At 35.4% G+C, this 23,325-nt stretch overlaps 1 long non-coding RNA gene across 1 annotated transcript in view; it reads right to left on the bottom strand.

The window, feature by feature from the left end:
• The window catches only part of LOC105378883 (uncharacterized), a 29,116-nt gene extending 6,078 nt beyond the window's left edge, over positions 1-23,038 (bottom strand). Inside the window, exons 1-3 of the long non-coding RNA XR_947660.1 lie at positions 22,924-23,038; positions 20,767-20,855; positions 804-914 (exon numbers count right to left, since the gene is read on the bottom strand). This is a non-coding gene — a long non-coding RNA (uncharacterized LOC105378883). The remainder of the gene's footprint in view (positions 1-803; positions 915-20,766; positions 20,856-22,923) is intronic.
• Between the last annotated feature and the right edge of the window lie 287 nt (positions 23,039-23,325).

The following is a 23,325-nucleotide window of genomic DNA, read 5'->3' as shown; positions in this document are numbered from 1 at the left end:
CATCATTGGTTCTCCTTGTTCTCGGGCCTTTGGACTTAAACTGGCATTATGCTGTCAGCTCTCCTTGGCCTTGAGCTTACCTACTGCAGATATTGAGAGTTGTCAGCCTCCAAAAAATTATGTGAACCTTTTTTTTTACAATAATGATTATCTATCTATCTATCTATATCTATCATCTATCTATCTGCCTGTATGTCTACCTATCTATGTAATCTTCCTATCTATCTATCTACCTATCTACTTACCTATCTATGTATTTACCTGCACATCCTATTGGCCTAATATTCTGGAGATCTCTAATACACATGTTTGTATATATTATATTACTAGCATAAGAAAAATATCTGACAATGCAGAATAGATAAGAGTATCGGAGTTTCTGTTTTATTTAGAAGCAAAAATTATTGAAGTGCCTCATAACATACTTCTTGTACTTGATATGTTTTTCTGCCTTTACTCCTTTGGAAGATCATCCAGACTTTTAGCTTTAAATATTATATATTTTCTGACAACTGTCAAATTTGTCTTTAGCGCAGAGCTCTATATTGAATTACAGACATTATATTAAATTGCCTACTCAACATTACAACTTAGACAGCTAGTCAGCATTTCAAACATAATATTTTTAATTTGTATACCTTAGAAACACGATCTGAAGCAAAACCTTTTTGTCTCCCTTGCACTTCAGAGTTGTGCCTACATCTGGTAAAAAACAAACAAACAAACAAACAAACAAAAAACAGAGCAATACTATGATACATTCTTGGTTGGAAACCAGTAAACTATGGAATTGTTCATCATACCTTTGCTAAAATAAATTGGGCCAAGTGGAGTTGGACTACAGGCTTCTGCCACAGTGTACAAAACCAAACTTCCGTTTTTCCTTTTAAATCTGATATTTTAGTTGTTTATTGCTGCAGGAGAAATTAACACAAAAGTTAGTAATTTAAAGCAATATGCACTTATTTCCTTACACAGGAATGGCTTAGTCTATTGTTTATACTACAAGTTTTCTTATGAGTTTGTAGTTAAGTTCTTGCATGTAGCTGCAATAGTTCCAATCTCAGTCAAAGGCCATACTGCATATATATCATACACTTCAAAAAACACATAAAACTTTGAAAATGCATATAATACAGAGTTCAGAAAAGAATCTGGCAAATTATCTAAAAAATACACCAATAATAATGATTACTAACTCTTATTTAGTCTTTGTTACGTGGCAGGTGTATCAGGCCGTTCTTGCATTGCTGCGAAGAAATACCTGAGACGGGGTAATTTATAAGAGAAGAAGTTTAATTGGCTCATGGTTCTGAAGCTGTACAGAAAGCGTGGTGTCAGCATCTTCTTCTGGGGAGGACTCAAAAAGCTTTTATTCACGGTGCAAGGCAAAGTAAGAGCAGGCACTTCACATGGCTAAAAAAGGACTAAGAGTGGGGCGAGAGTGGGAGTGTGTTACACACTTAACCAGATATCACCAGTTCTCACTATTACAAGGACCGCACCAAGCCACGAGCAATCTTCGCCCATGACCCAAACACCTCCCACCAGACCACACCCCCAACATTGAGGACACATTGCAACATAAGATTTAGGCAGGGACAAATATCCAAACTATATCATTCTGCCCCTGGTCTTCCCAAAATCTCATGTCCTTCTTAGGTTCCAAAATACAATCATGCTTTTTCAAAAGTTCCCCAAATTGTTAACTTGTTTCAGCATTAACTCAAAAGTCCAAGGTCCAAAGTTTCATCTAAAACAAGGCAAGACTTCTACTAATGAGCTTGTAAAATCAAAAACAAGTTATCTACTTCCAAGATACAATGAAACTGTTAACCCAAAATATCTACAACAGGTCTCACTCCATTTGGAAAGTTTATTTTGCCACAGCTAAAGATGCACCCTGACACAGCATCAGGAAGTCCTGGCAACATGTGCCCAAGGTGGTCATGGGTACAGTGTGCTTTTATACATTTTAGGGAGATATGGCACATCCATCAATATGTGTAGGATGTACCTTAGTTTGATCCAGTAGAGTGGGACAGCTCGAAGTGGGAGCTTTCAGGTTAGAAGTAGATAAGAGACAATAGGTTGCAGTATTTTGAGTTCTTGTTCAGTCTTTGACTCAATTCAAAATTTAGTCTGGCTCAGTAAATGTGCATCTTTACATAAACAATAGGGCAGAGGAAGCAATCAGATATGTATTTGTCTCAGGTGAAACTTAGAGGGATGACTTTTGAGTTCTGTCTGTCATTTGTCCACAAGAAATTTCCTGTGGGCAAAATGTGAGAGAGGTATGTAGCTTCTTATCTTGGTAGCTATCCTATTTAGGAATAAAATGGGAGGCAGGTTTGGCTGACATAGTTCCCACCTCGACTTTTCTCTTGACTTAGTGATTTGGGGGTCCTGAGATTTATTTTCCTTTCACAGGAGTATAGGCATTGGAAAAGAACATTCTTATTCCAAAAGGGAGAAATAAGTCAAACAAGAGGGGCTGTAGGCCCCATGCAAGTTTGAAATACAGCAAGTCAATCATTAAATCTTAAAGTTACACAATAATCTCCTTTGATTCCATGTCCTACATCCTAGGGAAACTGGTGCAAGGGCTGGACTTCCAAGGTCTTGGGCAGCTTCACCCCTGAAGTTTTGCAGCATTCAGACCCTGTGGTTGGTCTCACAGGTTATTGAACGCCTGCAGCTTTTCTAGGTGCAGAGTGCAAGATACCAGTGGATCTACCATTCTGGGGTATGGAAGACAGCAGCCCCCTTTCCGCAGTTCCACTAGGTAGTGACCCACTGGGGACTTTATGGAACCTCCAACCCCAATTTATCTTCCACACTGTCCTGTTAGAGTTTCCCTGTGTGGGCTCCACCTCTGCAGCAGGTTTTGGCCTGAACATACAGGCTTTTCCTTACATGCTCTGAAATCTTTGTGAAGGCTTCCAAGCCTCCTTCACTTTTGCATTATGTGTTCCTGAAGTCTTAACACCATAATGTGGAAGCTGCCAAGGGTTACATTTTGTACTCTCTGGAGCTGGAGCAGCATCTCAAGCTGTACCTAGACCCCTTTGAGCTGAAGCTGGAGCCAGAGTGGCCAGGGTGTGGAAAGCAGTGTCCCAAGGTTGCACAGTGCAGTAGGGCCCTGAGCCTGGCCCATGAAATCTTTCTTCCTTCTTAAGCCTCTGGACCTGTGATGGGAGGAGCTGCCGTGAAGGGCACTGAAATTCCTTCAAGGCCTTTTTCCCATTGTCTGAATATTAACACTTTCTCTTTTAGTTATGCAAATTTTTCTATCAAGTGGTTGTTCCACAACCTGATTGAATTCCTCTCCCTAAACAGCTTTTTCCTCCTCTGCCATATGTCCAGTCTGTGAAATTTCCCAACTTTTACTCTCTGTTTTTCTTTTAAATAGATATTTCAACTTTAAGTCATTTATTTGCTCCTGTATCTCAGCATAGGCTGTTAGAAGCAGTGAGGCACATTTGAATGCTTTGCTGCTTAGAAATTTATTCCACCAGATATTGTAAAATATGTTTCTCAAGTAAAAACTTTTACAGAACCCTAAGGCATGAATGGAATGGAGCCAAGCTCCTTGCTAAGGCATCACATATGTGACCTTTTCTCCATTCTTAATAAATTTCTCATTTTTATCTGAGACCTCAGAAGCCTGGACTTCACTGTCCATATCACTGTCACTATTTTGGTTACAGCCATTTAACCAGTCTCTAAAAGTTCCAACTTTCCCTCAACTTTCTTTCTTCATCTGAGCCATCTAAAGTCTTTCAACCTCTGTCCATTACCTAGTTCCAAAGTTACTTCCGCATTTTCAAGTATCTTTATAGCAATGCCCTACTGGGTTCGGTACTAATCTTCTATATTAGATAGTTCTTGCAGTTGCTATAAATACCTGATACTCAGTAATTTATAAGAAAAGAGGTCTGAGTGGCAGGCTGTACAGGAAGCATATTGCTGGCATCTTTTTCCAGGAAGGCTTCAGGAAGCTTTTACTCATGGTTGAAGGTAAAGCAGGAGCAGGCACTTCACATGGTGAAAAACAGTAGGAAGAGAGGGGGATGGGGAGGTGCCACACACTCTTAATCAGATCTCACAAAGACTTTTGCAAGGACAGAACAAAGCCATGAGGAATATGCCCCCATGACCCAAACACCTTCCATCAGGCCCCACCTCCAACATTGAGGATTACATCTCAACATGAGATTTGGGTAGGGACAAATATCCAAACTATATTAGCAGGCATAAAAGCTATGGCTCACTATTTAAAATATTACCATTTGTGATTCTGATAGTGACCACCAAATATAAGTATTTATATGTTCAATATGGGATACTTCAGTTTTCTAAAAGTTAGCTAATTTCTCACGGTCACACAACTGTTAATAAATTGCTCACGCCTGTAATCCCAGCATTCTGGGAGGTTGAGGAGGGCAGATCACTTGAGGCCAGGAGTTCAAGATCAACTTGGACAACATGGCAAAACTCCATTTCTACTAAAAAGTAAAAAGTAGCCAGGCATGGTGGCACACACCTGTAATCCCAGCTACTTGGGAGGCTAAGGGATGAGAATCACTTGAACCCAGGAGAGGGGTGTTGCAGTGAGTTGAGATTGATTGCCTTGTGCCACTGCACTCCAGCCTGGGTGACAGAGTGAGACTCTGTAAAAAAAAAAAAAAAAAAAAAAAAAAATTCTCCTAGTATTTTTATTCTTAATAATGTATTTGTCTGTGCATTCTAATTTGTGTGCTTTATATTTATAGCACTTCCATAAACCTGTGTTCTTCATGGTTGTTTTAATTACAGTTAAAACTTTTGTGCACTTAGGATATATAGAGATATTAACTAATAAATATGTCTTAAAATTAGAAAAACAGATAGATATTTAGGTATGACCAATGTAGTTGGCAATTCCCCTTTAAATCATAGAAATTTATATGCCTTGATTAGAGTATTATAAACCCCATGATGAAGAAATAGTTGCTCAATGTATACTGCAACATGCATAGAGAAAATCCTAAGTATTTTGTTGTAAAAATAAACACAACAGACTGATGGAAATATCAATGACTGTATGGTTTTGCATATATAACTGGAAGAATTAAGAAACCATATAATTAGATGTAAAAATTTGGGAGATCAGTAGATTTTCTTTGTGAATGTATATCAAATATCAAATATCTAAGCTGATTTTTATTAAGGTGGTTGGGAATTTAAGAAAAAATAATCAGTGAAAGAATTCTAAATTATTATGCCATAATTTGCTATTGTGGCAAGTTACGCTGAGCTTGATGAGAACAATTTGATAGAATGATGAGAAAACCTTGATTCAACTGAGGTCAAGAGGAAATGAGACAAGTAAAGTTGGTTGTAATAGGTTTAAAACATAATTATAAAGCAATTAACTATATAACGGAGTATAGAGTGAAGCAATAGCTACAGAAGGATATTGAGATGAGAGACTGTAACTAAAGAAGGAAGGTGTTATGTACTGTGTGTATGCTGATAGAAATAATCCAGTAGATAGATTAACATTAATGATAAAAAAAAAAAGAGAAGCAAGGATTGCTCTTGGGATACCCTTAAGGAGAAAAGAGGAAGATGGGGTTGGGGTTTATGAAAAAGTCAAACCCAGCTGCCATCTTTTCTAAGAAAATGGGTATCAGAGGGCATGTTTACAGATGCAAATATAGTAATATATTTTTGGAGAGAGATGGTGGAATGCCTCTTGATTAAATATATTTTCTCCTTGAAAATAGATAACACCTTTATTTCTTGTGATTTAAGAAAGGAGGGTAGATAATCAAAGTTTAAAGAGAGAGAGGAGTTTGTATAAGAATAGATATATATTCTGTAAATATCTTAGAATTGATGGATCAAATAGAATTGGTGTCTATTTGATGTTGGTGGTCATGAATATAAAGTGAGAACAGTCATCAAGGTTGTCATTTTTTTCCAACTGTGTTTAGCTGTCCTAGAGAAGTTTGAGAGTAGACAGAAAATGGGATTTTGAAAGGCTGCTGTTTTTCCAGGCCAGAATAACAGAGAATAAGGATGAATATAATAATAATTCATGTAGACTGGATGAGGAAACAAGTGAGGATATAAAGGGGCTGTACAATGCTGGAAACTAAGTCAATAGTTGAAAATTGCAAGTGGGCAAAGGGGAGAAAAAGGACAGAGTTTTCAATGGTCTCATCAGAGATCATAATTAAAGAAAATGCTTTTATTTGTAAGAGGAATCATAAGTTACAAGCAAAGACATGTACTATAAAGGGCAAGACCAAAAGAGAGAAGAGGTCAGATTTCCAAAATGACAGATTATTTGAAAGATATTTTACTTATACTTAAAATAACAAGATTTATAGTTTGAATACTGAATATTGAATTTCAATCCATGATCTTTAAACCTGATGGACTGTAGAGAGAAGGGAAAAACAATGATTTGGAGGAACAAAGAGGACACCTTTTCCAAAGTCAGGGCCAATAGTTAGAAGACTTTATGGCTGAAGGACGAGTTGCTTAGTGGAAAGCTAGGTTTTAATTAGACATGTTTTAAAAAGTTCATAGAAGAGGTTGAGGATATAGGAGATGACAGACTGTGAATTTCAGAGGGCATAGTGGAAATCTTTGGGAGTCTGGAAAGATGTTAGGATTGGAGACATATTAGCATACGTGGAAGTCTAGGGAAGGCAGTTTATTTGGTAATCCTGGGGGGATATTCCTGATGATATTTTAGGCAGATTGGGTTGGTATTGGTGTGGATATTATGGAAATCGACTTGCTTCCTGACACACAGAGATCTGTAGCTCCTTCTTTACTTACAACAGAATGAAATGAAATATATATATTTTTAATTTTCATTAAGTCATGTGTTGTCTAATTGAGGGTGTAGATAATATAGATAAAAAGAACGCACACATCCACATATTAAAGTAGGCAGATAATAAATAAGTAGATACATTTTAACTGCATATCAACAAAATGTTAATACTTGTGGTTTCACAAGAAAAGAATTATTCAAATCCACACATGTCTCCCCATCTCCATAATCTAATGGGCTCCATGCAAACATACTCTTTTCTGAGACTACCTGACAATTTCTAAGTGATGAAATGGTATCAGTTCTTCCCTTCTTTAAATTTTTCATCCTCATTGCAGCTAGATAAATAATTTTGAAACGAACATATGATCATTTGGTATTTACTTATTAAAAGATCTCCATGGTATCCCATTTTCTTTTAAGAAAAAAATATTTCTTTAAACACAATTTAAAATTTTATGCAAAAGGGTGCACTAAGTTCTCAAGCCTCCTTTCTCTTTTCACTCCTGCTCCCTCTCACTATGAAAATTTTGTACTTGTGGTTACTTCTGCGTTTCTTACCTTCCTTCTTCTTCCAGTTAACATATTCATATCCACACCCAAGGCCAATAACCCATTTCCAAAGGGATAACTTCCTTGTCCTCCCTGAGTGCATCAATACCCTCACAGATGCTTGTATGGTGCCAATTATCTCTTATTCATGGCACTTGCTAATTTTGCAATGTTACATTAACTTGAATAGCTATATGAGCAATATTAATCTTTTTCACTAGACTCTAAACTCTAAGGTGACTTCCAGGTTATGCCTCTGTTTGTCATTATTTAAGCAGATCACAGGCATCAATCTTGCTTACAGTTAATCAAATCAATTAGTTGACAAATTAATCTTTTTCTTTTCTTAAATATATCTGAAAATGCATTCAGTAAAACGCAAAGATCAGATAAAAAACCGACAGAACTAGGGTATGTGTCCATGGTGATTGTTTAAGAGTGAAAAAAATTAGAAAGCCCTACAATAGAATAGAGAAAAAAGATCAGAGTAGGTGATTTTAGGAATAAAATGATGGTTTCTGTACTTGAAACATAGACAATAAAAAGAAAATAGAATAATAAGAATTCTATTGTGAATTCTCCTGTCCTTTTCCACATGAGTAAATAAACCCTAGCTTTGTCTTCCTCATATTTCACATTTTCAATGTGTGCTGCATATTGAAGAAAACAACCTGCTTAGTCTGGTCTTAAAGGTTGCCTGCTTAGTGACCAGAAAATTCACTTTTAAAAGAAACTTTATGTGCCAGTGATTTAGACCTGTTCTACTTTAACTGGAGCACTTGAAATGGCCCTGAAGAATGCCATCCAAAGTGCAGCATTAGGGGACGTACCAGCCACAGTGAAAGGTCATGCTTGGCTTTCCATTCACAATTCCCTTTGTTGCATGTGTTTCTGATTATTTTTCTTTTTCCTAAAACTCCCTAGCACATTCAATTTGGAGCTCTTCTAGTACATCAAAATATGCCAACACAACATAATTCTTTGAGGAAATTTGAAATTATTTGAGGTAAAGATATACTCAGAAGAGACAGTGCTCTCTCTTGTAGTTCTCAGATTAAATTCATCCCCGGCAAAACCCCTTGTTTGTTATTTAATCGAGCTTTTATAATCTTGTGACAGAGAGAGAGCTCAAGACTCTATACAACATTAATTTGCAGGCATTAGTTTGTATGTTTCCAGAAAATCTTTCTTAGAAATGCACAAATATTCTTGTAAAAGATGATTAAAGTACATGTTTGATTTTCTGACTGTTGGATAATTTGTATTTATCCACAGCAGGAGTTGCACAAAGATGTGGCATGGCTGTTATCTTTTGTATATCCCCTATATTGCCTGTTGAACATTATTTTTTATTTATTGATATATTTACATATTTGCTTACCATAAGCTTCCAGGCTTTTTCTTTATTCTTAAATAATGCACACTTCTTTCTATTTTCAAAGGGAATTTAGATCGATTTGGTTTGGGGTATAATATTTTTAATTTAAGGTAAAATATATGATAGTTCTATGTAGATTGAAATTAGATTGAATTGTAAGTTATTAAAATCGGTGGTAATTAAAATAGAAGTGGATTGCTTAAGTCAAATCACAGAGTACGAACTAAAAATATAAATTTCAGCACGTATGATATACTTTTGGGGGTTGAGTGATTTCAGCTCTCTAAATCTTTATATCTCTACATCAAATTATATTATCCTACATTTCATATCAATACCAACAGTCTGTACATATGCCAGTGTTCATTTATATGTCTGTCTGACCCGTGGCTTGAAATGATATCAAACATTGTGGTCAACATGTAAATTAAAGCAGGTCCAAACATCTAAGAATTATGGTCAGTTATCAAACAATTAGTTCGTTTATAATTTTTGTATTTTATCAAATATATATATATATATATACTATTTTTCTTTCTTTATATTGAGAATTTCTCTTCATTTTCTTCTATTTTACAAAATGTCTTGTGGCTATGCGTATTTAACCTTAGAGTTTAGCAAGTCCTTACACAAATATTTGATAACCGTACCATTGAGATCAACCCTGGGAGTCTCTTAACATGCATTGTTGGAGTGGAATCCTTGATGTGCAGGAGATGTTCATACCAGCCAGACAGTGCTGATTTTGCACAACTCATTCCAACTCTGTTTTTAGTGACTTCACATTAGTGGCTTGAAATCAGCTCTGAAAGAACTATTTGCACTAAGAAAATTACTAAAATCTATGAATCGGTATACAAATATGTATATGTGTATTTTAAAATATATACCTTTATTTCAAGTTTCAGGATCACATTATTAAGAAAGGAATGCCTAACTTTCATGTGAAAATTTGGCAAAGCTGTGTATTTACATATTATATATCAGTAGCATGCACATTAATTTTTCTTTTCAATTTTCAGCAATATTAGCTCTATGGCCAACAAAAAATAAGAGATTGTTTTCGGGTGGTCATGAAAACTCTCTGGTCCTCAGACTGTGAATAGAGTTGAGAGTTAATGTACCCGTTCTTGTCATTCTATTTGTATAATTACTCAAATTTATGCAAAAAATCCATCTATTATCACATGGTGTGTGGCCATACTACCACCATAAACATCAAGTGCAAGCATCCAGTTGCACTTCCAAAGCGTGTGCTTCAGTTTGTATTTTATTACATGTAACCACAAATGATAACTTCATGAACTGTGATGTTATTACATGATGTGATTACTAACATCCCATTTTCCATGGATATGAAGGCCAACATTGCATTTATGGGTGCAAACAAGCCAATCACGAATTTCCATCTTTGTGAGTCAATGTACTGAAACTAATCTAGGTATCAATTCTGTATCTGTTAAGGTTAAGTAGTGGGGAGAAACCATGAGGTAATTTGAATATAAAATCTTTAATATAAAGAATAATTGACAGGAGATTGGAGAATGGTGAATTGGCTAACAAGAGTTAAAAAGAGCATTAAAGAACACAGAAAAAGCAGGTGTAGGAATTAGCTACTGCTCATGAGGCTGGAATAAAAGGACCTAAGAAAGAGACTTCCTCATCATGTCAAGACTGGAACTGAGATCTTTTTGGAGGAGTCATATCCTCAAATCACAAGATGCCACATAAGATACGGAGGTGACTCGGTGGTATAACTTGCTACATTTTTTTTTTTCTGGGTTGTAAGAGAAACTCATCCACGGAGAGGGGATGGGCCTTAAAACTCACTTTACTAGAACATGGAAGAAGCTGGAAACCATCATTCTGAGCAAACTATCGCAAGGACAGAAAACCAAACACTGCATGTTCTCACTCATAGGTGGGAATCGAGCAATGAGAACACTTGGACAGAGGGTGGAGAACATCACACACCGGGGCCTGTCAGGGGGTGGGAGGAGGAGGGAGGGATAGCACTGGGGGATATACCTAATGTAAATGATGAGTTATCAGGTACAGCACACCAACATGGCACATGTATACATATGTAACAAAGCTGCACGTTGTGCACATGTACCCTAGAACTTAAAGTATAAAAAACAAAACAAAACAAAAAAATAAACAAACAAAAAAACCCTCACTTTACTGTCCCTTGTATGGATGCTGGGGAGTCTGTTCGTGTGAATGTGCCTCATCTGTGGCATTCCACTGCAAAGCTTCCAAGAGAGATGACAGGGAGAATTTGCAGGCTGATGAGTGTTTCTTTCTGCTGCTATCAGAAGAAACCAGATAGTGGGGGCATATCTTCAGGGGCTGGATGCTTGAGAAAATACACTGTGCTGAAGTCAGGTGCTAGAGAAAGCTGTGCCCTTCAGGAAACTAGCAGAAAAGAAGCTATGCACTTTGCATAAGCCAAGTTTTGTAGGAAGTGTGCATTGCAGGTGCCTAGAGGTAGAGAAAACTGTGTAGGTTAAGGAGACAAGTGCTGGAAAAAGCACATTCCTTAGAAATCTGGAAAGTGAGACACAGTGGCATCAGGAAGAAAAATCCCCCTCCTCCTCTTGTGTTTCTTGAGCACCCTCTACTAACATGGCTTAACACAATGTCAGCTAGCAAAGGAAACATATTTATGAAACCTACCTCCATTATCCTGGAACAGCCAAAACAGCTGATTTGAAGATGAAAGTTAATACATTTATAAATTTTTTATGTGTTATAAATTGTAAGAATCTCTAAAAATAAAAGTAACTTGTCACTTGTTGAATCATTTTTATTGAGAAGACACTTCATAGAAAAACATCACAATTCTTGAAGTATTTGATGTATGAAATAAAATTAGATGTGTTTTCTTTACTCTTACTTTGTATTATAAAATGACCTTAAGATGTGAATTAAAAAAAATCCTCTCTGCCTAAATTCAACAGATTTAAATATTTTGCCTATATGTTTTAGAAGGTACAAAAGAATAGACAGCTGGGGGAATATGTGTGTCTTTAGGAGAGGGCCACCAAGTGAAAGAAAGGTGAAGAATGAGAAAATAGTAGTATAACAGATGTTAAACAAAGTGTGGCCTTCATCTTGTCATGGACTTTGTTATTTTGATGTTCCAGTGCAATGTGAAGTTTCTGGGTTATTACTTATTACTAAATGTGGGCTAGGTACCAAAAGACAAGAATGAAACATGACAAAGAATATTCTTAAAATATAATAGGAAATTATTAAAGGCATATCAGCTTTTTCTTCCTGAAAAACACATAATAAGTAATCATCTCTGTCTTCTATTTCGTCCCAGGTTTCAAGTTATATTTTGTTATATAATAAAGCATTGTGGCCCAAACAATATCCCTATTGTATCAGCCGGCAGCCATTGTTCAACCAGAAGAGCAAAACCACTTGGTTATATATTACATATTTTTGTTGCAGGAAATCAGCCTCATACAATCACAGGAGGTTGTTAAAAAGCCTTTATAATGCTTTTTGTATCCACATCTGATGTGTAATCTTGAAGTTGCAGGGTAAGCAGCTGATAGATGTGAAGGAGGAATATCAAAGGCAGGCAGCAATGACAGAATAAACTGGAACCCTAAACTGAAACCAGCCATTCTTCTTGCCTTTGACTTTGGCATTAAGAGTATCATGCAGAAGCAGGGGCCTTGTGTTAGAAAACTGAACCTTTCCAAGGAGTCAAACATGCTGAAGGAAAACACAAGAATAGGTAGAGCAGTTACACATCCAGCTACTGCTTCATGGCATTGAAATGAGTCATCAGATCAACAAACATGCGTGTGTGTCTGTGTGTGTGTGTGACTTACACAGAGAACACACACGAGAGAGAGAGAGAAAATGGTTGCTACCTTCCATTTACCCTCCAAATCTCCCAAGAACCTTCTCCTAACAATCTTCTAATGTGTCCACATTAGAAACATATAAGATAGGAACTTCTCAAAAGTTTAGCTCAGTCTAGTTACGATGACACATAACACTTAACATGTGTTTTACATAACAGTAATCTTTAAAAATCAGACTATCAAATATGGTGCATTAGTCCATTTTCACACTGCTATAAAGAACTGCGTGAGTCTGGGTAATTGGTAAAGGAAAGATTAATTGACTCACATTTTAGCCTGGCTGGGGAGGCCTCAGGAAATTTACCATTATGGCAGAAGGCGAAGGGGAAGCAAGGCACCTTCTCCACAAGGCAGCAAGGAGAATGACCACAAGAGAAACTACAAAATACTTATAAAACCATCAGATCTCATGAGAATTCACTCACCATCATGAGAATAATATGGGGGAAAATGTCCCCATGATCCTATTACCTCGACTTATTCTCTTCCTTCATACTTGGAGATTATGGGGATTATAATTCATGATTTGACTTTCATGGGGCACAAAGCCTCCTCATACCATTCTGCCCCGACCCCTCCCAAATCTCATGTCTCTTTCACATTACAAAACCAATCCTGCCTTCCCAACTGTCCCCCAAACTCTTTGGGGGATTTGGGGAATAATTCATTCCAGCATTAACCCCAAAGTTCAAGTCCAAAGTAACATCTGAGACAAGACAAGACCCTTCCACCTAGGAGCCTATAAAATCCAAAGCAAATTAGTTACTTTCAAGACACAATGCAGGTACAAGCATTGAGTAAATGTTCCTGTTCCAAATGGGAGAAATTAGCCAAAACAAAGGGGCTACAGGTCCCATGCGATTCTGAAATCCATCTGGGGAGTCATAAAATTGTAAAGATCCAAAATGATCTCCTTTGACTCCGTGTCTCACATTCAGATCATGCTGAAGCAAGAGATGAGCACCGCAGGACTTTGGGCAGCTCCACCCCTGTGGCTTTGCAGGGTACAATGCCCCTCCCAGCTGCTTTCACTGCTGGTGGTCAGTGTCTGTGGCTTTTCCAGGTGGAAAGCTGTCAGTAGATCTACTATTCCGGGTTCTGGAGGACAGTGGCCCACTTCCCACAGCTCCAATAGGCAGTGCTCCAGTGAGTACTATGTGTGGGGGCTCCAATCCCACATTCCCCTTTTGCACTGTTCTAGCAGAAATTCTCCATGAGATCTCCACCTCTGATAGTTTCTGCCTAGATATCCAGAAATTTCCATACAACTTCTGATATCTAGGTGTAGATATCCAAATCTCAATTCTTGTCTTCCATGTACTGGCAGGACCAACACCACAGAAGCTACCAAGGCTTGGGGCTTGCACCCCACTGAAGCAATGGCCCAAGCTGTACCTTGGCCTTTTTAGCCATGGCTGTTGCTGGAGTAGCTAGGACACAGAAAACCAAGTCCCTAGGCTGCACAGAGCAGCAAGGCCCAGGCCCATGAAACCATTTTTACCTCCTAGGCCTCAGGCCTGTGAGAGGAGGGGCTGCTGAGAAGGTCTCTGACATGCCCTGATGTTTTTCCCATTGTCTTGGTGATTAACATTCTGTTCCTCGTTATTTTTGCAAATTCCTGCAGCTGGCTTGAATTTCTCCCCAGAAAATTGATTTTTCTTTTCTACCACATCTTCAGGCTGCAATTTTTTCAAACTTTTGTTCTCTGCTTCCCTTTTAAACATAAGTTCCAATTTCAAACCATCTCTTTGTGAATACATAAAACTGAATGCTTTTAAGAGCATCAGGTTACCTCTTGATTTCTTTGCTGCTTAGAAATTTCCTCTGCCCGATACCCTAAATTATCTCTCTCAAGGTGGAAGTTCCACAGATCTCTAGGGCAGGGTCAAAATGCCACCAGTGTCTTTGCAAAAGCATAGCAAGAGTCACCTTTATTCCAGTTCCCAACAAGTTCCTCATCCCCATCTGAGGCCACCTCAGCTGTTCATTGTCCATATCACTATCAGCATTTTGGTCAAAGCCATTCAACAAGTCTCAAGGAAGTTCCAAATGTTTTCATATCTTCCTGTCTTCTGAGCCCTCCAAGTTTCTACAAAGATTCAAACTTTCCCACATTTTTTTGTCTTCTTCTGAGCCCTCCAAACTGTTCCAGCCTCTGTCTGTTACAGTTCCAATATCCCTTCCATATTTATGGGTATCTTAATAGCAGTACCCCACTTTCTGTGGTATCAATTTACTCTATTAGCCTGTTTACACACTGCTATAAAGAACGACCTGAGACTGGGTATAAAAAGGAAAGAGGTTTAATTGACCCACAGTTTAGCATGTCTGGGGGTGGGGGTATCAGGAAATTTACAATCATGGTGGAAGGCAAAGGGGAAGCAAACAACCTTCACAAGGCATCAGGAAGGAGAATGACCACAAGAGGAAGTACCAAATACTTATAAAACCATCAGATCTCATGAGAACTCACTATCATGAGAACAGCATGGGGGAAACTGCCCCCATGATCTAATTACTTCCTCCTGGTCTCTCCCTTGACACATAGGGATTTGGGTAATTATGGGGATTAAAATTCAAGATGAGATTTGAGTGGAGACACAAAGCCTAACCACAGTGTATGGAATTTTGGTGCCATCAGAAAGTCAACTTTTAAAAAATACATGTATTTATTTTTTTAATTGACAATTGTTGTGTATATTCACTGGGTAAGTAAATGTGATGTTTTGATATATGTATATATCATAGAAAGTTGACTTTTGTTTATTTCTTCATTGATCAAATGTTCACCTGTTAATATGTATTTTTTAAATATTGTTTTATTGCTATCAGAATTAGCATTTAAGTTCTCCTTCACGGGAAACTGCTACAGGGAGCATAATTGATTCATAGCCCCAGCCACTTTTCTTTTGGAGTAATCATAATTTTGTTTCAAGGCCATGTATAACCTGGCTTGCTCTCAACCAATAACTAAGCCCAATGGAGATACTAGTGCCAGCCCATTAGGATGGGATTCAGAACTTCTCAATTGAGCAATGTTAACTCAGGGAGTGCTTGTTTGCCTAGCTGAAACTTTCTTAGAAATGTGTTGTAGTCTAATATTCTTACCCAATGCTTCCCTTTCTGTCCATTTCACTGGTAACAGAACAGTATCATAAGCTGTTGTTTCTCCCTGCATACTCTTCTTTCTTTTATCCTTTGCAGATATTCCCTCAAAAAAAATCGATTGCACATGAAATTCCTTTTTGTGCTGTTTAAATTATGCTACTAACTAGCTATTTTACTCAATAAATACTTAAATGTCTCTAATGGCATTGTTGTAGAATACAAAAACAAAATAGGCAAACTCAACAAGCTTACATTCCATTGTGGGACAAAAGGTATATAGAAGTGATCAAGTATATACAAGAGAATATTTTATCCTGTATCTTACATAGAAAGTTCATGTAATGAATACTTCATGGAATTTTAAATTTGAAAAGTTCCAGTTACCTAATATGTATTTACCTAAATACTTCTGATATAGGAAGAGGGTCATTAAAGGACCTTATAGGAAAAATAATTTTTATACTATATTGTATGAAAATGTTGTAATTGTATTAAATCCTGAAATAAAAATAAATAAATATTCTCAAATTTATTTCTTTATATTTAAATATGTTCTGAATTGTTGACTACATCATCTCCTTCTGGGTGTCAGAATGTGTCTAACTCAGCCAGGGTATCATTTGTTCATTAATAGTTAGAGTACAACACTAGTGTCATTAAATCTTGCTTCTCCTGCAAAAATCTTGCTTCACCTTGCAACCTACTCACATTCTCAGAATTTGACAGATATCAAACAATAAATGAGACTAAGCAAAAAAGACTTGACCTTACAAGTGGGGCTAAAAGATTAAATACTAGAGAAGAGATGATTGCTTTAGAGATAGTGTAATAAAAACTCAGTTCATCAGTGTGTTGTTTCTTTTTTTGCTTTTATTTACTCATCTATTATGTGGAACAGATATTAAATAGAAGGCTAGTTATAGATCACTATACCTGTAATATATATACATTTTATGACATAGTGTAGTGCAAAAGAAAAATATTTTATCTATTTAAAGAAGCAAATATATTCATTTACAATTTTTTAAAATTTCATATATACATTGTAAAAATTTTACAAAATACAGAAGAAATTAAAGAATGTAAAAATGTCTAAAAATTCGATCCCTGATAAATAATTGTTATTGATATATTTATATAAACTATTCTTTAACATGTTGCAAATAACTTTCTATGTAACTAAATATTTTTCTGAAACAGAATTATAATAGATACGATATTTCAGAAAATATATTATGGATGTAAGACTGATATGAGATATATATTCAATTATGATCATTTCATACTTTTTTTTAAGTTTTGGCACTTTAGTTCTGTGATTTACATGTGGGGGAGCAGGCATGGGAGGATAAGAAATGAAACTTTGTATTCTAAATATTTAAACAGTTGTCTAATCATTTACACAATAATTCATTTTATCCTCAATGATAACATTTCCTACTTTAGTAATATAAAAAGATAGATTTACATGTTTTTGTCTATTTTTAAAATTATCTTAAGACAATTATTTTGATACTATTAAAACCTTTTCCTTATGGAAGTTTTATAGTACTTTTTTTAGTTGATAATGTGAATCATTCTATTTTTTTCAACAATATCTTGGCTACCTTTTTATATATAAGCTCTAGGAATATTTCATAATTATGTACTCTGTTATAGATTCTGTTAATCATGCACTGTAATTTATAAATTTATTTTAAAATAATGAACATTTTTAATATATTTATTTTTCAAATATATTTATTTTTCAAATCGGGATATTTGTGTATTTCTTTACTTATCAAATTGTTATTTATGCACTTCAGTAAAATTTTAGTTTTCTTTATCCTGATCCAGAGCCTTTCCTACTAATTTTATTTCTATTTATTTTACATTTTTTCATTGTTTCATACTTTTAAAAAATATCATATTTAAACAGATATTTACTGTAATATTGGAATAACTGATTTGGGAATACTTGGTTACATACTAGAGACCATCTTGAGTTTTTCAATTTTTTTTTTGTATTTTATTTTCTCTAATATCATTTGCAAATTATGATGATTTTTATTTCCTGTATGCACACACATAAAGACACACATTTCTTTTACTGTGTGTATAAATATATGTGTATGTTTTTGTCTATATATATTATTATATATACAATTTTGTCATGTATTGCATTCAGCTATAATTTCCAGAAAAAGTGATAATTGTGAGAATGATTATTTTTGATGTAATTCAGATATTACTGAGATTCCTTAATGTTTCTTCATTAAATAAAATGTTCTCTACTGACTTAAAGAGAGCTTTAAATCATTTATGGGATTTACATTAATTTTTAAAGATTTCATTTTAAACAAAAATGAATACTGAATTATTTCTAAAACATTATAACTTCTATAATGTCTGTGATATTCCCATTTGCCTATTAATAATTTGTATTATTTTGTGATTTAAATTTTTGCTTTCTTTTTCTCCTAGATTTGTTGGTCTGCTTATTTATTTGTAATTTACCTCCAGTAATTATTTTATTCAAATGACCCATAAAAACATAAATGGTACTTACGTTGGTGATGATTTTTTCTCATCTGTCATCTCTTCCAAGTTTCATATCTCATTTTAAAATTCTTTTTTGTCTCCCATTATATATTTATTTGATTGCTGTACAAAGTTAGAATATAATTTTCACAGTGCATTAGAACTCTTTCCTTATTTTAAGTAATTAATTTTCAAATTTATTTTATAATGCCATTACTTACTTTTGTATTCAGAATGTTTTCGTGTTTTCTCTTCACTTCTTCCACCTTTTTCCTTCCTTTCTTCTTTCTTTCCTTTCTTTCTTTTTCTTTCTTTCAATACATATTTCTACATATATATCTATGTGATATATGATATCTATATGTGATATTTTGTTTGTTACATGCATTCATCATGTAAGGATCAAGTCAGGGTATTTGGGGGTATCCATCACCTCAAGTATCTATCATTTCTGTGTGTTGGGAACATTTCAGCCCTCTCTTCCAGTTTTGAAATACATATACATTATTGCTAACTATAGTCACTCTACTCTGCTATCAAACGTTGGAAATTATTCCTTCTATCCAGCTGTATGTTTATACCTCTTAACCACCTTCACTTTATCCCCTCCATCCCCACCCACACAACCATCCCAACTTCTGTTATCTACCGTTATATTCTCTAGTTCTATGAGATAAACATTTTTAGCTGCCACTTAGGAGTGATAGCAAGCTATATTTGTCCTTCTGTGCTTGTATTATTTTACTTAATATGATGAGTTCCAGTACCATCCATACTGTAGCAAATAAGATGATTTCTCTTTTTTTTATGGTCAAAGAGTATTCCATTGTGTATATACACCAGATTTTCTTTATTCATTCATCAACTGATAGGCACATGAACTGATATAGGTTGATTCCATATATTTCATATTGTGACTAATGTTGCAATAAACATGAGAGTACAGGTATCCCTTTATGGAATGTTTTATTTTTATTTTTTTGGATAAATATCCAGTGGTGGCATTGTTGGATCATATGGTACTGCTAATTTTAGTATTTTGAGAAATCTCTATATTTTTTCCACAGTGGTTATACCGATTTACATTCCCATCAATAAAGTATGAGAGTTCCCTCTTATCTGGATCCTCACGAGCATCTGTTAATTGTGTCTTTTTAATTGCCATACTAACTGAGATGAGATGATATCACATTATGGTTTTGACTCAGCATTTTTCAGATGATTAGTGATGTTGAACATTTTTTCTTATACCTGTTGGTCATTTGTAGATCTTCTTTTGAGAAATGTTTATTCATGTCCTTTGGCTACTTTTTATTGGATATCTTGTGTTTTTTTCTATTGAGTTGTTTGAATTACTTATATATTCTGGATATTAGTCTCTTGTCAGATGAATAGTTTGCAAATGTGTTCTCCCATTCAACAAGTTGTCTCTTAATTGTATTGATGGTGTTCTTGGCTTTGCAGAAGATTTTTAGTTCAATACAGTCTCATTTGTCTATTTTTTTGTTTTTGTTGCCTGTGCTTCTGAGGTCTAAGCTATAAAATCTTTATCTAGACCAACGTCCTGAAGTGCTTTCCGTATGTTTTCCTCTAGAAGTTTTATGGTTTTGAGTCATATGTGTACGTCTTTAATCCATGTTGAGTTTATTTTTGTATATGGTGAGAAATAGAGGTCCAGTTTTAGTCTTCCACATCGGATTTTCCATTTTTTCCCGAACCAATTATTGAAAAGGGTGCCCTTTCCCCAATGTATGTTAGCCCGGAAGCAGAAAATTTAGAAAACTACTAATTAAGAAGGCTGAAGAGGAATCAGTCATCCCTAGAGGAGACAGATTGTTTTATCTTGACCTAATTATATGTGAGCATTCAACTTGTTGCAGGACTATTTTTATTGTTAAAAACTAAATGACTTAATCATTATTTTAAAGCAATTCCTTCTCACACTTCTGAGTGGCTTGAACTTTCAAGTAAAAGTTAATTATTATGAGATTTATAACTATCAATTATTTTACAAATAGTGATCCTAGTATTCCTCAGCAATAAATCAGCTTACTTACCACAGCAAGCATATGAAGAAATGACAAACTGAAGTGTTATATTTTGTAAAAAGACCTGAATATCAAGCAGAGATTAACGTCTTTGAGAAAAGTTGAGAATAATAATTTTTACACGATGTGATTGATCAATTTAGTACCAGAAATGGGCAATTACTTTGATGGGCAATATCTAAGTTAGTCAAGTAATGAAGAAAATATTAAGAAGTGCTTATATAAAAAAGTAACTTCTCACAGTTACAGTAACTAAGTCTTCGGCAGTTTTAGTAACCTTAGAGATAGAATTTACTTTTCTTGGTTAAGGTGCCTGTTTTCCCTTTACCCTTTAAAATGGTAGCTGTATGACAACAATAATTTATATTGCTTCATAATAATATCTGCTCCATAGATTTGCTGAATAGATTATGAGAGATGTGTATGGAAAACACTTACTAACGTCCTCAGTAAACGGCAGCTGTTATTACCATACACCTCGGACTTAACACAGGTCACCCTCTGGCCTCATATGTGGTCTGATGATGCTGAAGATAGGGAAGGATAGAACATTGAGAACATAAGGGACTTTAGAGATAATCATTTGAACCTCTCCATTTTCTCAGAAAATAAACTAAAATTTAAAATAAATACAGTATATTTAGGAAATTGTGTTCATTTTTTATACATTTACTAAATTATGTTAAAAATCTGTAGACAATGTAGGTTATTTCTCAGGAAAATTAACAAGGATAGGATGTTTAAAAATCATCTCACGAGAGAAACCGATGTGTTCCACAGCTTATTAAATTTATCATCATTCAGCCAGAGTTAGTAGGTCTAGGTAAATTAGGAATTTTTGGCAATATCTAAGAATGTTTTAATGCACTTTGCAATTTGGCAAATTGTTAAAAATTATAAGAAAAGAGAGAGAGACATCGTCTCCCTTCTTAATAAAGAAAAATATTAGTTCTGACTTTACCCTATATTGCTTGTGGGCATATGTTTAATTTAGTTGAATTGAACTGAAACAGCCATAGAATATAAAGTGACCAAAAATGTTTCCATAAGGGAAAAAAATTCTAGAAGGTAAGGGGAAACTAACTGTACCATATATTTTAATAAACAGTATAATTAAGAATTCTGACAGATGAATATATGCTATTATTTATTTATTCATTTTTGAAATCTACATGGTGACTATAATGTTAATTGTATGTCAGTGTGGCTGGATCACGGTGACAACATATTTTGTTAAATGTTACTCTGGATGTGCCTGTGAAGGTGTGTTGTGGAAGAGATTAGTATCTTAATTGGTGAATTTTGAGTATAGCAGATTGCCTTCATAATGTGGGTGGACCTCATCTGAACAGTTGAAATCCTTAATAGAACAAAGAGCCCACCCCATCCTTGGAACAAGAAAGAATTCTGCCAGAAAACTGCCTTTGAACCCCCATTGCAGCTCATCCTGTGTCTCCAGCCTACTGTCCTACTCCACAGTTTTTACTTTCAAACTTTCACAATCATGGGAGCCAATTCCTTAAAATAAATCTTAATCTTTCTCTCTCTCTTTCTATGCACATATACACACACACACACAATCTCTCTCTCTCTCTCTCTCACACACACACACACACACACACACCCCATTGCTCCTGTTTCTTGGGAATATCCTGACTAAAACAGTGCTAATATTTTCTCATTGAATCTTAGCAAATAGGAACAGGTGGCTGTAATGGCAGTAAAAAAATATCGTATTAAAGCATTATCTAAACAAAAAATCAAAGTCATTCAAACAAAGGATAATGAGAAATTAAATAAAAATAAATACCCTAGTCCGTTTTTCTTACTGTGTAGTTTGTGGATTACAACTGAAAAGCATCTAAATAGGTTTCATTTGGATTCATAGACATAAAATATAATTTTCCTGTTGTTTTAAAGGTGGTATATTATCCAATGTGACCTCATTTGTGTTACTTATTACAGTTAAAAAATTTAAACTGTTTTAATTTTTTTAAATAGTAATAAGAGAGCAGTGTTGTAAAATATGCCATATTTGTAGTATGATAGTTATGAGGGAGGATCTATGCCAAAGCTTACTTGTGAAGCAGGAAGGGGAAGCAGTTGAATTTGCCTAACTTACATACCAAGAGTGACTAAACAAGTCTTTTTACTTTTCCCTATACGCCTCACCTATTCAACACTGACAACACTGGGAGTCTAAGACGTTAATGGTAGACAGATTGCAGTTATCCTGGCTTATAGTTTCATTCAACTCTTTCTAATTGGAGCCCCAGACTTGGGTCTCTCACAAACCACATCCTGTACAACACTGCTCTGATAGATTAAAAAAGTAGAAAAAAATGAAAACAGCAAAGGCAGACTGGGTTTTTAGGAGACAAGCTGAAAGAATACGATATCCACATAGCCTCAAGCTCTTCACTGTGATGAAGGCTGTGAAGAGGTGATAATGCTCCTTGTCCTTCCTGGCAGACAGATTTAGACAGGTCCTAAAGGCCAGAAGGTAGATTTAAAATTAAATGGCAAACAGTTACAACCAGTACAAAAGTAGTGTTCACTATAGCTGTCTGCATAGAGTGTTGATAAGACATGTACCTGTAACCTAGTTCTCCGAAAAGTACTGAACTGGGGGGAGAAAATTCAGAGTAAGCAGGTAGGTAAGTTTGATGAACAAGGAGCTCTGAAACTGGAGGGAGGAGCAGCCAGGCAAACCAGCACACGGAGGGCGTTCTCAGGAAATCTAGGTCGGCTCATAGGTAGAATTTAGAATCAGAGGGCCGCTGGAAACAGGTTATGATATCATTGTTTCTAGCATAGATGACAGTTACACAGATATAGCCAAGTTTGTGCTCAAATTATTTTAAGGACGTGAACATTCTTTTTAAATCTCTCTTGCAGAGTTATTTTACTACAAGAAATTTTGTATTTCTGTGAATTTCACAGTATTTGCTGGTCTCTTTCCCAACTGTAGGTGTTAGGGATGTTTAACATTAGCAC

This window comes from Homo sapiens, chromosome 1 (genome assembly GCF_000001405.40).
Source record: "Homo sapiens chromosome 1, GRCh38.p14 Primary Assembly".
Classification (NCBI taxonomy): Eukaryota; Metazoa; Chordata; class Mammalia; order Primates; family Hominidae; genus Homo; species Homo sapiens.
This window is presented reverse-complemented; position numbering and strand designations above follow the sequence as displayed.